The 12,191-nt window shown below is 50.5% G+C and overlaps 1 protein-coding gene across 1 annotated transcript in view, besides 1 other annotated feature; it reads left to right on the forward strand.

The window, feature by feature from the left end:
- SPEN (spen family transcriptional repressor) overlaps nucleotides 1–12,191 on the forward strand; it is a 92,750-nt gene that overhangs the window by 78,438 nt on the left and 2,121 nt on the right. Inside the window, exons 11-13 of the mRNA NM_015001.3 lie at nucleotides 1,947–10,122; nucleotides 11,019–11,501; nucleotides 11,668–11,862. Of these exons, the coding sequence (NP_055816.2) occupies nucleotides 1,947–10,122; nucleotides 11,019–11,501; nucleotides 11,668–11,862 (8,854 nt within the window). The remainder of the gene's footprint in view (nucleotides 1–1,946; nucleotides 10,123–11,018; nucleotides 11,502–11,667; nucleotides 11,863–12,191) is intronic.
- Nucleotides 8,736–9,237: an enhancer, noted in NCBI's record as "H3K4me1 hESC enhancer chr1:16261375-16261876 (GRCh37/hg19 assembly coordinates)". NCBI's record gives its function as "activates a minimal SCP1, AML or CMV promoter by ChIP-STARR-seq in primed H9 embryonic stem cells {active_cell/tissue: H9 hESC(primed)}" and the evidence as "EXISTENCE:reporter gene assay evidence [ECO:0000049][PMID:30033119]".

The raw sequence follows: 12,191 nt of genomic DNA on the forward strand, positions 1-12,191 counted from the left end.
CAGAACTTTGAGAGACTGAGGCGGGCAGATCACCAGAGGTCAGGAGTTTGAGTTCGGCCTGGCCAACACAGTGAAACCTGTCTCTACTAAAAATACAAAAAAATTGGCCAAGCGTGGTGGCGCATGCCTGTATTCCCAGCTACTTGTGGTGGTGGTGAGGTAGGAGAATCGCTTGAACCCCAGAGGTGGAGAGCAGTGAGCCGAGATTGTGCCACTGCACTCCAGCTCAGATATATACATACACACACACACACACACACACACACACATTTATAAATATATTTACAAAATATACATATTTATAAATATGTATATTTATAAAATAATGTGTTATCGATGCTTCCAGTGTTGGAATGTTCAGTCTAGATGCTTCGTTTGCTGTTCAAAGGAGTTGGAACATCATTTAGTAGCAGCTTTGATATATTTTTCTAAAGTTCATTCTTTCAACAAATAGTTGAGTGCTATGAGCCAAGTGCTGTTGTAAGAGCTAGAGAAATTTTGGCCAAGAAGACAAAGCCTGTGCCTTTATGGGGCTTAAGTTCTAGTGTTCTTTTTTTTTTTTTTTTGAGATGGAGTCTCGCTGTGTCGCCCAAGCTGGAGTGCAGCGGCACAATCTTGACTCACTGCAAGCTCCGCCTCCCAGGTTCATGCCATTCTCCTTCCTCAGCCTCCCGAGTACCTGGGACTACAGGCGCCTGCCACCATGCCCGCCTAATTTTTTCTATTTTTAGTAGAGATGGGGTTTCACCATGTTAGCCAGGATGGTCTTGATCTCCTAACCTCGTGATCCGCCTGCCTTGGCCTCCCAAAGTGCTGGGATTACAGGCATGAGCCACCGTGTCCGGCCAAGTTCTAGTGTTCTTTCAGCGAGCTACTAATGGCAGTGTTACCTAGAATGAGCCAGGTGTATCTACATGAGAGAACAAACATTGCGGAGAATGAATGAGTGAAGGAAGTAATTGGTCTCTGTTACAGGTGTATTTAATTTCATATAATATATGTTCTTGTGTGTAAATTTAATCCTATTTTGAATGCACCAGACAGGTCCCTGTGGGAGAAAACCTGTGGTGAGTTCCTTAAAACTGGAGGAGTTCTCTCATGGTGCTTGCAGTCATCCCTGGTTTGTTAGTTGGCAGCCTGGGGGAAAGTGACAACATTTACTGAGGCCAAGTACCTGCCTAGGATTATGTAGGAAAGTTTTTACAGATATTATCTTAATCTTTTTAACAGCTTTATGAGGAAAAGCTGCCATTTTATGAGTGAGGAGACTGAGTTCAGAGAGTTTAACCAGGTTCCAGTATTTTTTAAAAATTGTGAATTAGATAGAAGTGTTACCAGTATCATACAGGTCATATAGATGGCAAAATTTTAGTTAAAATTTTTATCTGTTTTTCTAAACAGTGGATTTATTTCCCAAGTTGTAAGAATATCTTTTTATAGAATAGTAATTTTGTGGGAGACTTAGGTAGGAGTGTGGGGATATTGTCCAGTAACTAGTGTCTGCTTTGTCACAACGCCGGAGTTACCAGAAACATTAAAAAAGGGTTGAATCACCACTGCCCAATAGAAGCATAATGTAAGTTATATAAATTCTGTATATGTAATTTTAAATTTTCTAGTAGCCACATTAAAAAGACAAAGTGAAATTTTCTTTAATATATCTAAAACGTTGTTTCAACATATAATCAGTCTAAATTGTTGTTTTTCTATAAACTAGGTCTACAAAATTGGCTGTGTATTTTACACATCTCAATTTAGCTAGATTTCAAGTGCCTAGTAGCTACTTGAAGCTATAGTGGATAGCTACTACAAACTAATCATTTCACAAATGATTAAATAATGTCAAAAGATTTTTTAGAAGCAGGAATTTCTGATTTCATATGTATGATTTTATGCATAAGTGATGAGGAAACAAAAGAACTAATATCTTTGTTATTTTTTGGCAGAGAGGAACGAAGGGCATCCTACGACTATAACCAAGATCGTACATATTATGAGAGTGTTCGAACTCCAGGCACTTATCCTGAGGATTCCAGGCGGGACTATCCAGCTCGAGGGAGAGAGTTTTATTCAGAATGGGAAACTTACCAAGGAGACTACTATGAATCACGATACTACGATGATCCTCGGGAATACAGGGATTACAGGAATGATCCTTATGAACAAGATATTAGGGAATATAGTTACAGGCAAAGGGAACGAGAAAGAGAACGTGAAAGATTTGAGTCTGACCGGGACAGAGACCATGAGAGGAGGCCGATTGAACGAAGTCAAAGTCCTGTTCACTTGCGACGTCCACAGAGTCCTGGAGCGTCTCCCTCTCAGGCAGAGAGGTTGCCGAGTGATTCTGAGAGGAGGCTTTACAGCCGATCCTCAGACCGGAGTGGAAGCTGTAGCTCACTCTCCCCTCCAAGATATGAGAAACTGGACAAGTCTCGTTTGGAGCGCTATACAAAAAATGAAAAGACAGATAAAGAACGAACTTTTGATCCGGAGAGAGTGGAGAGAGAGAGACGCTTAATACGGAAGGAAAAAGTGGAAAAGGACAAAACTGACAAGCAGAAACGCAAAGGAAAGGTTCACTCCCCTAGTTCTCAGTCTTCAGAAACGGACCAAGAAAATGAGCGAGAGCAAAGCCCTGAAAAGCCCAGGAGTTGTAATAAACTGAGCAGAGAGAAAGCTGACAAAGAGGGAATAGCGAAAAACCGCCTGGAACTCATGCCTTGCGTGGTTTTGACTCGAGTGAAAGAGAAAGAGGGAAAGGTCATTGACCACACTCCTGTGGAAAAGTTGAAAGCCAAGCTTGATAATGACACTGTCAAATCTTCTGCCCTGGACCAGAAACTTCAGGTCTCTCAGACGGAGCCTGCAAAATCTGACTTGTCTAAACTGGAATCAGTTAGAATGAAAGTACCAAAGGAAAAGGGGCTTTCAAGCCATGTTGAAGTGGTGGAGAAGGAAGGCAGGCTTAAAGCCAGGAAGCACCTCAAGCCTGAGCAGCCTGCAGATGGGGTAAGTGCTGTGGATCTGGAGAAGCTGGAAGCCAGGAAAAGGCGCTTTGCAGATTCCAATTTAAAAGCAGAAAAGCAAAAACCAGAGGTCAAGAAAAGCAGTCCAGAGATGGAGGATGCTCGCGTGCTTTCAAAAAAGCAGCCTGACGTGTCCTCTAGAGAGGTCATTCTGCTGAGGGAAGGAGAGGCTGAAAGAAAGCCTGTGAGGAAAGAAATTCTTAAAAGAGAATCTAAAAAAATCAAACTGGACAGACTTAATACTGTTGCCAGCCCCAAAGACTGTCAGGAGCTTGCCAGTATTTCTGTTGGGTCTGGCTCAAGGCCCAGCTCAGACCTACAAGCAAGACTGGGAGAACTAGCAGGTGAATCTGTGGAAAATCAAGAAGTCCAATCAAAAAAGCCCATTCCCTCAAAACCACAGCTCAAACAGCTGCAGGTATTAGATGATCAAGGACCAGAGAGAGAAGACGTTAGGAAAAACTATTGCAGTCTTCGTGATGAAACACCTGAACGTAAATCAGGCCAAGAGAAATCACATTCAGTAAATACTGAAGAAAAAATTGGCATTGACATCGATCACACGCAGAGTTACCGAAAACAAATGGAACAGAGTCGTAGGAAACAGCAGATGGAAATGGAAATAGCCAAGTCTGAGAAGTTTGGCAGTCCTAAAAAAGATGTAGATGAATATGAAAGACGTAGCCTCGTTCACGAGGTAGGCAAACCCCCTCAAGATGTCACTGATGACTCTCCTCCTAGCAAAAAGAAAAGGATGGATCATGTCGATTTTGATATCTGCACCAAGCGAGAACGGAATTACAGAAGTTCACGCCAAATCAGCGAAGATTCTGAAAGGACTGGTGGTTCTCCCAGTGTCCGACATGGTTCCTTCCATGAAGATGAGGATCCCATAGGCTCCCCTAGGCTACTGTCAGTAAAAGGGTCTCCTAAAGTAGATGAAAAAGTCCTCCCCTATTCTAACATAACAGTCAGGGAAGAGTCTTTAAAATTTAATCCTTATGATTCTAGCAGGAGAGAACAGATGGCAGATATGGCCAAAATAAAACTATCTGTCTTGAATTCTGAAGATGAACTAAATCGTTGGGACTCTCAGATGAAACAGGATGCTGGCAGATTTGATGTGAGTTTCCCAAACAGCATAATTAAGAGAGATAGCCTTCGAAAAAGGTCTGTACGAGATCTGGAACCTGGTGAGGTGCCTTCTGATTCTGACGAAGATGGTGAACACAAATCCCACTCACCCAGAGCCTCTGCATTATATGAAAGTTCTCGATTGTCTTTTTTATTGAGGGACAGAGAAGACAAGCTACGTGAGCGAGATGAAAGACTCTCTAGTTCTTTAGAAAGGAACAAATTTTACTCTTTTGCATTGGATAAGACAATCACACCAGACACTAAAGCTTTGCTTGAAAGAGCTAAATCCCTCTCTTCATCTCGTGAAGAAAATTGGTCTTTTCTTGATTGGGACTCCCGATTTGCAAATTTTCGAAACAACAAAGATAAAGAAAAGGTTGACTCTGCTCCAAGACCTATTCCATCCTGGTACATGAAAAAGAAGAAAATTAGGACTGATTCAGAAGGGAAAATGGATGATAAGAAAGAGGACCATAAAGAAGAAGAGCAAGAGAGGCAGGAATTGTTTGCTTCTCGTTTTTTACACAGCTCAATCTTTGAACAAGATTCCAAGCGATTGCAGCATCTAGAGAGAAAAGAGGAAGATTCTGACTTCATTTCTGGTAGGATCTATGGGAAGCAGACATCTGAGGGAGCAAACAGCACAACTGATTCCATTCAAGAACCAGTAGTTCTGTTCCATAGCAGATTTATGGAGCTCACACGGATGCAACAGAAAGAAAAAGAAAAAGACCAGAAACCCAAAGAGGTTGAGAAACAGGAAGATACAGAGAATCATCCCAAGACCCCAGAATCTGCTCCTGAGAATAAAGATTCAGAACTGAAAACTCCACCTTCCGTTGGGCCTCCAAGTGTCACAGTCGTAACTCTAGAATCAGCCCCATCAGCACTAGAGAAGACCACTGGTGACAAAACGGTAGAGGCGCCTTTGGTAACAGAAGAGAAGACTGTGGAGCCAGCTACCGTCTCAGAAGAAGCAAAGCCTGCATCTGAACCTGCTCCTGCCCCTGTGGAACAGCTGGAACAAGTAGACCTGCCCCCAGGAGCAGACCCCGATAAAGAAGCTGCCATGATGCCTGCGGGTGTTGAGGAAGGTTCATCAGGTGACCAGCCGCCTTATCTGGATGCCAAGCCTCCAACTCCCGGGGCCTCGTTTTCCCAGGCAGAGAGCAACGTAGATCCAGAGCCTGACAGTACCCAGCCACTTTCAAAACCAGCTCAGAAGTCTGAGGAAGCCAATGAGCCAAAGGCCGAAAAGCCAGACGCCACTGCAGATGCTGAGCCTGATGCAAACCAGAAAGCCGAAGCTGCTCCTGAGTCTCAGCCCCCAGCTTCTGAAGATTTAGAGGTTGATCCTCCAGTTGCTGCAAAGGATAAAAAGCCAAACAAAAGCAAGCGTTCAAAGACCCCTGTTCAGGCAGCTGCAGTGAGTATCGTGGAGAAGCCCGTCACAAGGAAGAGTGAGAGGATAGACCGGGAAAAACTCAAGCGGTCCAATTCTCCTCGGGGAGAAGCACAGAAGCTTTTGGAATTGAAGATGGAGGCAGAGAAGATTACAAGGACTGCTTCTAAAAACTCTGCTGCAGACCTTGAACATCCCGAACCAAGTTTGCCTCTCAGCCGAACAAGGCGCCGGAATGTAAGGAGCGTCTATGCAACCATGGGTGACCATGAAAACCGCTCTCCTGTCAAAGAGCCCGTTGAGCAACCAAGAGTGACCAGAAAGAGATTGGAGCGAGAGCTTCAGGAGGCTGCAGCGGTTCCCACCACCCCTCGGAGGGGAAGGCCTCCAAAGACACGCCGGCGAGCCGATGAAGAGGAGGAGAACGAGGCCAAGGAACCTGCAGAAACACTCAAGCCACCTGAGGGATGGCGGTCGCCAAGGTCCCAGAAAACTGCAGCTGGTGGTGGACCCCAAGGGAAAAAGGGAAAAAATGAACCGAAGGTGGATGCTACACGTCCTGAGGCCACCACTGAGGTGGGCCCCCAAATAGGCGTGAAAGAGAGCTCCATGGAACCCAAGGCTGCTGAGGAGGAGGCAGGGAGTGAACAGAAACGTGACAGAAAAGATGCTGGCACAGACAAAAACCCCCCTGAAACCGCCCCTGTTGAAGTTGTAGAGAAAAAACCGGCCCCTGAAAAAAACTCCAAATCAAAGAGAGGAAGATCTCGAAACTCCAGGTTAGCAGTGGACAAATCTGCAAGTCTGAAAAATGTGGATGCTGCTGTCAGTCCCAGGGGGGCTGCAGCACAGGCAGGGGAGAGGGAATCTGGGGTGGTGGCAGTCTCCCCTGAGAAAAGTGAGAGTCCCCAAAAGGAGGATGGTTTATCATCCCAGTTGAAAAGTGATCCAGTTGATCCAGACAAGGAACCAGAGAAAGAAGACGTGTCTGCCTCTGGGCCGTCCCCAGAAGCCACCCAGTTAGCCAAGCAGATGGAGCTGGAGCAGGCCGTGGAACACATCGCAAAGCTCGCTGAGGCCTCTGCCTCTGCTGCCTATAAGGCAGATGCACCAGAGGGCCTTGCCCCAGAGGACAGGGACAAGCCTGCACACCAAGCAAGTGAAACAGAGCTGGCTGCGGCCATCGGCTCCATCATCAATGACATTTCTGGGGAGCCAGAAAACTTCCCAGCACCTCCACCTTATCCTGGAGAATCCCAGACAGATCTGCAACCCCCCGCAGGTGCACAGGCGCTGCAGCCTTCTGAGGAAGGAATGGAGACAGATGAGGCTGTATCTGGCATCCTGGAAACTGAGGCTGCTACAGAATCTTCTAGGCCTCCAGTCAATGCTCCTGACCCCTCAGCCGGCCCAACAGATACCAAGGAAGCCAGAGGAAATAGCAGTGAAACCTCACACTCAGTGCCAGAAGCCAAAGGGTCTAAAGAAGTGGAAGTCACTCTTGTTCGGAAAGACAAAGGGCGCCAGAAAACAACCCGATCACGCCGCAAGCGAAACACAAACAAGAAAGTGGTGGCTCCTGTAGAGAGCCATGTCCCTGAATCCAACCAAGCTCAAGGTGAGAGTCCTGCTGCAAATGAGGGGACAACAGTACAGCACCCCGAAGCCCCACAGGAAGAAAAGCAGAGTGAGAAACCCCATTCCACTCCTCCTCAGTCATGTACTTCTGACCTAAGCAAGATTCCCTCCACAGAGAATTCGTCCCAAGAAATCAGTGTTGAGGAAAGGACTCCAACCAAAGCATCTGTGCCCCCAGACCTTCCCCCACCTCCCCAGCCAGCACCGGTGGATGAGGAGCCTCAAGCCAGGTTCAGGGTGCATTCCATCATTGAAAGTGACCCGGTGACCCCACCCAGCGATCCAAGCATCCCCATACCCACACTGCCTTCTGTAACTGCAGCAAAGCTCTCACCTCCTGTCGCCTCTGGGGGGATCCCACACCAGAGCCCCCCTACTAAGGTGACAGAGTGGATCACAAGGCAGGAGGAGCCACGGGCTCAGTCTACTCCATCTCCAGCTCTTCCCCCAGACACAAAGGCCTCTGATGTTGACACCAGCTCCAGCACCCTGAGGAAGATTCTCATGGACCCCAAGTATGTGTCTGCCACAAGTGTCACTTCCACAAGTGTCACCACAGCCATTGCAGAGCCTGTCAGTGCTGCCCCTTGCCTACATGAGGCCCCGCCCCCGCCAGTTGACTCTAAAAAGCCTTTAGAAGAAAAAACAGCACCTCCAGTGACAAACAACTCTGAGATACAAGCCTCGGAGGTGCTGGTAGCTGCTGACAAGGAAAAGGTGGCTCCAGTCATTGCTCCCAAAATTACCTCTGTTATTAGCCGGATGCCTGTCAGCATTGACCTGGAAAATTCACAGAAGATAACCTTGGCAAAACCAGCTCCTCAAACCCTCACTGGTCTGGTGAGCGCACTCACTGGCCTGGTGAACGTCTCCCTGGTCCCGGTGAATGCCCTGAAAGGCCCCGTGAAGGGCTCAGTGACCACACTGAAAAGTTTGGTGAGCACCCCTGCTGGGCCCGTGAACGTCCTGAAAGGGCCTGTGAATGTTCTTACGGGGCCAGTGAATGTTCTCACCACTCCAGTGAACGCCACGGTGGGCACAGTGAATGCCGCCCCAGGCACAGTCAATGCCGCTGCGAGTGCAGTGAATGCCACAGCAAGTGCAGTGACCGTCACAGCGGGTGCGGTTACTGCTGCATCTGGTGGTGTAACGGCCACAACAGGCACGGTGACAATGGCAGGGGCAGTGATTGCGCCGTCAACAAAGTGCAAACAGAGAGCGAGTGCTAATGAAAACAGTCGGTTCCACCCAGGGTCCATGCCTGTGATCGACGATCGTCCGGCAGACGCGGGCTCAGGGGCGGGGCTGCGTGTGAACACTTCTGAAGGGGTTGTGCTCCTGAGTTACTCAGGGCAGAAGACCGAAGGCCCACAGCGGATCAGCGCCAAGATCAGCCAGATCCCCCCGGCCAGTGCAATGGACATTGAATTTCAGCAGTCAGTGTCCAAGTCCCAGGTCAAACCTGATTCTGTCACAGCATCGCAGCCTCCATCCAAAGGCCCTCAAGCTCCTGCAGGCTATGCGAACGTGGCCACCCATTCCACGTTGGTACTGACCGCCCAGACATATAATGCCTCTCCTGTGATTTCGTCTGTGAAGGCCGATAGGCCATCCTTGGAGAAGCCCGAGCCCATTCACCTCTCGGTGTCCACGCCTGTCACCCAGGGAGGCACAGTGAAGGTTCTCACCCAGGGGATCAACACACCCCCTGTGCTGGTTCACAACCAGCTGGTCCTCACCCCAAGCATTGTCACCACAAACAAGAAGCTTGCTGACCCCGTCACCCTTAAAATCGAGACCAAGGTCCTTCAGCCGGCCAACCTGGGGTCCACGCTCACGCCCCACCACCCTCCTGCTCTGCCCAGCAAACTGCCTACAGAAGTCAACCATGTCCCCTCGGGGCCCAGCATCCCAGCAGATCGAACTGTCTCCCATTTGGCAGCTGCAAAGCTAGATGCTCATTCTCCTCGACCAAGTGGACCCGGGCCATCCTCATTCCCAAGGGCAAGCCACCCCAGCAGTACTGCATCTACGGCGCTCTCCACCAACGCCACAGTCATGCTGGCTGCAGGCATCCCAGTGCCCCAGTTCATCTCCAGCATCCACCCAGAGCAGTCTGTCATCATGCCACCCCACAGCATCACCCAGACTGTGTCCCTGAGCCACCTCTCCCAGGGCGAGGTGAGAATGAACACTCCCACGCTGCCCAGTATCACCTACAGCATCCGGCCAGAAGCGCTTCACTCTCCTCGGGCTCCGCTGCAGCCCCAGCAAATAGAGGTCAGGGCCCCACAGCGTGCCAGCACCCCGCAGCCAGCCCCAGCTGGTGTGCCTGCACTGGCCTCCCAGCACCCTCCCGAGGAGGAAGTGCATTATCACCTTCCTGTCGCTCGAGCCACAGCCCCTGTGCAGTCAGAGGTACTAGTCATGCAGTCTGAGTACCGACTGCACCCCTATACTGTGCCACGGGATGTGAGGATCATGGTGCATCCACATGTGACGGCAGTCAGCGAGCAGCCCAGGGCCGCGGATGGGGTGGTGAAGGTGCCACCAGCCAGCAAGGCCCCTCAGCAGCCAGGGAAGGAAGCTGCCAAGACACCAGATGCCAAAGCTGCCCCCACCCCCACCCCTGCCCCCGTCCCTGTCCCTGTCCCCCTTCCTGCCCCTGCTCCTGCCCCTCATGGTGAGGCCCGTATCCTCACAGTTACCCCCAGTAACCAACTCCAGGGGCTGCCTCTGACCCCTCCTGTGGTGGTGACCCATGGGGTGCAGATTGTGCACTCCAGCGGGGAGCTGTTTCAAGAGTACCGGTACGGCGACATCCGCACCTACCACCCCCCGGCCCAGCTCACACACACTCAGTTTCCCGCCGCTTCCTCTGTTGGCCTGCCTTCCCGGACCAAGACAGCTGCTCAGGTGAGCCAGCCAGGTATCTCCCCACTGTCTGTTGGGCATGTGCTTGTGGGGCTCAGCAGGCTTTTAAGCCAAGATGTGTGAAAGAAATCAGGGGCCAGGTGTGGTGGCTTATGCCTGTAATCCCAGCACTGTGGGAGGCCCAGATGGGAGGACTGCTTAAGCCCGGGAGTTCGAGACCAGCCTGGGCAACATGGCAAAACCCCATCTCGTACAAAAAAAAAAAATTACAAAAATTAGCCAGGTGTGGTGGCACACACCTGTGGTTTCAGCTACCTGGGAGGCTGAGGTGGGAAAATTGCTTGAGCCCTGGAGGCAGAGGTTGCATTGAACCAAGGTCGTGCCACTAGGCTCCAGTGACAGAGCGAGACCCAGTCTCAAAAAAAAAAAAAGCCGGGCATAGTGGCTCACGCCTGTAATCCCAACACTTTGGGAGGCCAGGGCTGGCAGATCACTTGAGGTCAGGAGTTCAAGACCAGCTTGGCCAACATGGTGAAACTCTGTCCCTACTTAAAGAAAAAGAAATCCGCCTTTTGGTAAAGATAGTGGTTGAGTACAAGTGAACTGGTCAGCTAGTCCCTAAAGATGTTGATCTTTTCATGAGTTTAAAGAGCTTTCTTAGTTCTGAGATGAAAGTATTAGATCACATCATGGGGAGTTCTGCATATGGGGAGGGAGCTCTTGCTGGGTAGCATCAGCAGGAGGCAGGTAATAGGGGATCTCTCCTTACCTGGAACCCCGAAAGCAGCTCCGTTGATTCAGGCTCCTTCTGTGGGCCTGACTTAACGGGAGATGCCACATCTTATCCTTTCCCTGTGGCCCTTTGGGTCATTTGTTGGTCTCAGGGGCTTGTGCACAACAGACTGACTCTGTCCCTTTGCCTTCCTTCCCTACACCAGGGCCCTCCTCCTGAAGGTGAGCCCCTGCAGCCTCCTCAGCCTGTGCAGTCCACACAGCCTGCCCAGCCTGCACCACCCTGCCCGCCCTCCCAGCTCGGTCAGCCCGGCCAGCCACCAAGCAGCAAGATGCCTCAAGTGTCCCAGGAGGCAAAGGGGACCCAGACGGGAGTAGAGCAGCCTCGCCTCCCAGCTGGACCTGCAAACAGGCCACCTGAGCCTCACACCCAGGTTCAGAGGGCACAAGCAGAAACAGGCCCGACTTCCTTCCCCTCCCCTGTGTCTGTCTCCATGAAGCCTGACCTTCCAGTCTCTCTTCCCACTCAGACTGCCCCAAAACAGCCGTTGTTTGTCCCAACAACCTCTGGCCCCAGCACCCCACCAGGACTGGTTCTGCCACACACTGAATTCCAGCCAGCCCCCAAACAAGATTCCTCTCCACACCTGACTTCCCAGAGACCCGTGGATATGGTTCAACTTCTGAAGGTAAGCATGAGCAGGGGCTGCCCTTCCTGGCCCCCAAGTTTTATGCCATGTCAAATGTCCTAAGATTCCCTAGTTAACAGACCCACAAGCTACAGCCTCTGGCTGTGTCCAGCATGGCTCAGCGAGGGGCCATGAGCTCACTTCCTGTTTGTTTCCCTGTGAGCAGAAGTACCCCATCGTGTGGCAGGGCCTGCTGGCCCTCAAGAATGACACAGCTGCTGTGCAGCTCCACTTCGTCTCTGGCAACAACGTCCTGGCCCATCGGTCCCTGCCCCTTTCTGAAGGAGGGCCCCCACTAAGGATCGCCCAGAGGATGCGGCTGGAGGCAACGCAGCTGGAAGGGGTTGCCCGAAGGATGACGGTAAGACTCTCAGGCCCAGGTGAGCAACTGCCCCACCTACAGGGAGGAAGACGTAGGTAGTCCCTGCCAGCCCATCTCCCTGGCCTGTCATGGAAGCATTAACTGTATTCTTGTTGTTGTTGAAACAGTCTCTGTCGCCTGGGCTGGAGTGCAGCGGTGCGATCTCTGTTCATTATAGCCTCTGCCTCCCGGGTTCAAGCCATTCTCTTGCCTCAGCCTCCTGAGTAGCTGGGATTATAGGCACGCACCACCATGGCACCACCATGCCCAGCTAATTTTTTGTATTTTTAGTAGAGATGGGGTTTCACCATGTTGGCCAGGCCAGCCTT

The sequence above is a fragment of the Homo sapiens genome, chromosome 1 (genome assembly GCF_000001405.40).
Source record: "Homo sapiens chromosome 1, GRCh38.p14 Primary Assembly".
Lineage (NCBI taxonomy): Eukaryota > Metazoa > Chordata > Mammalia > Primates > Hominidae > Homo > Homo sapiens.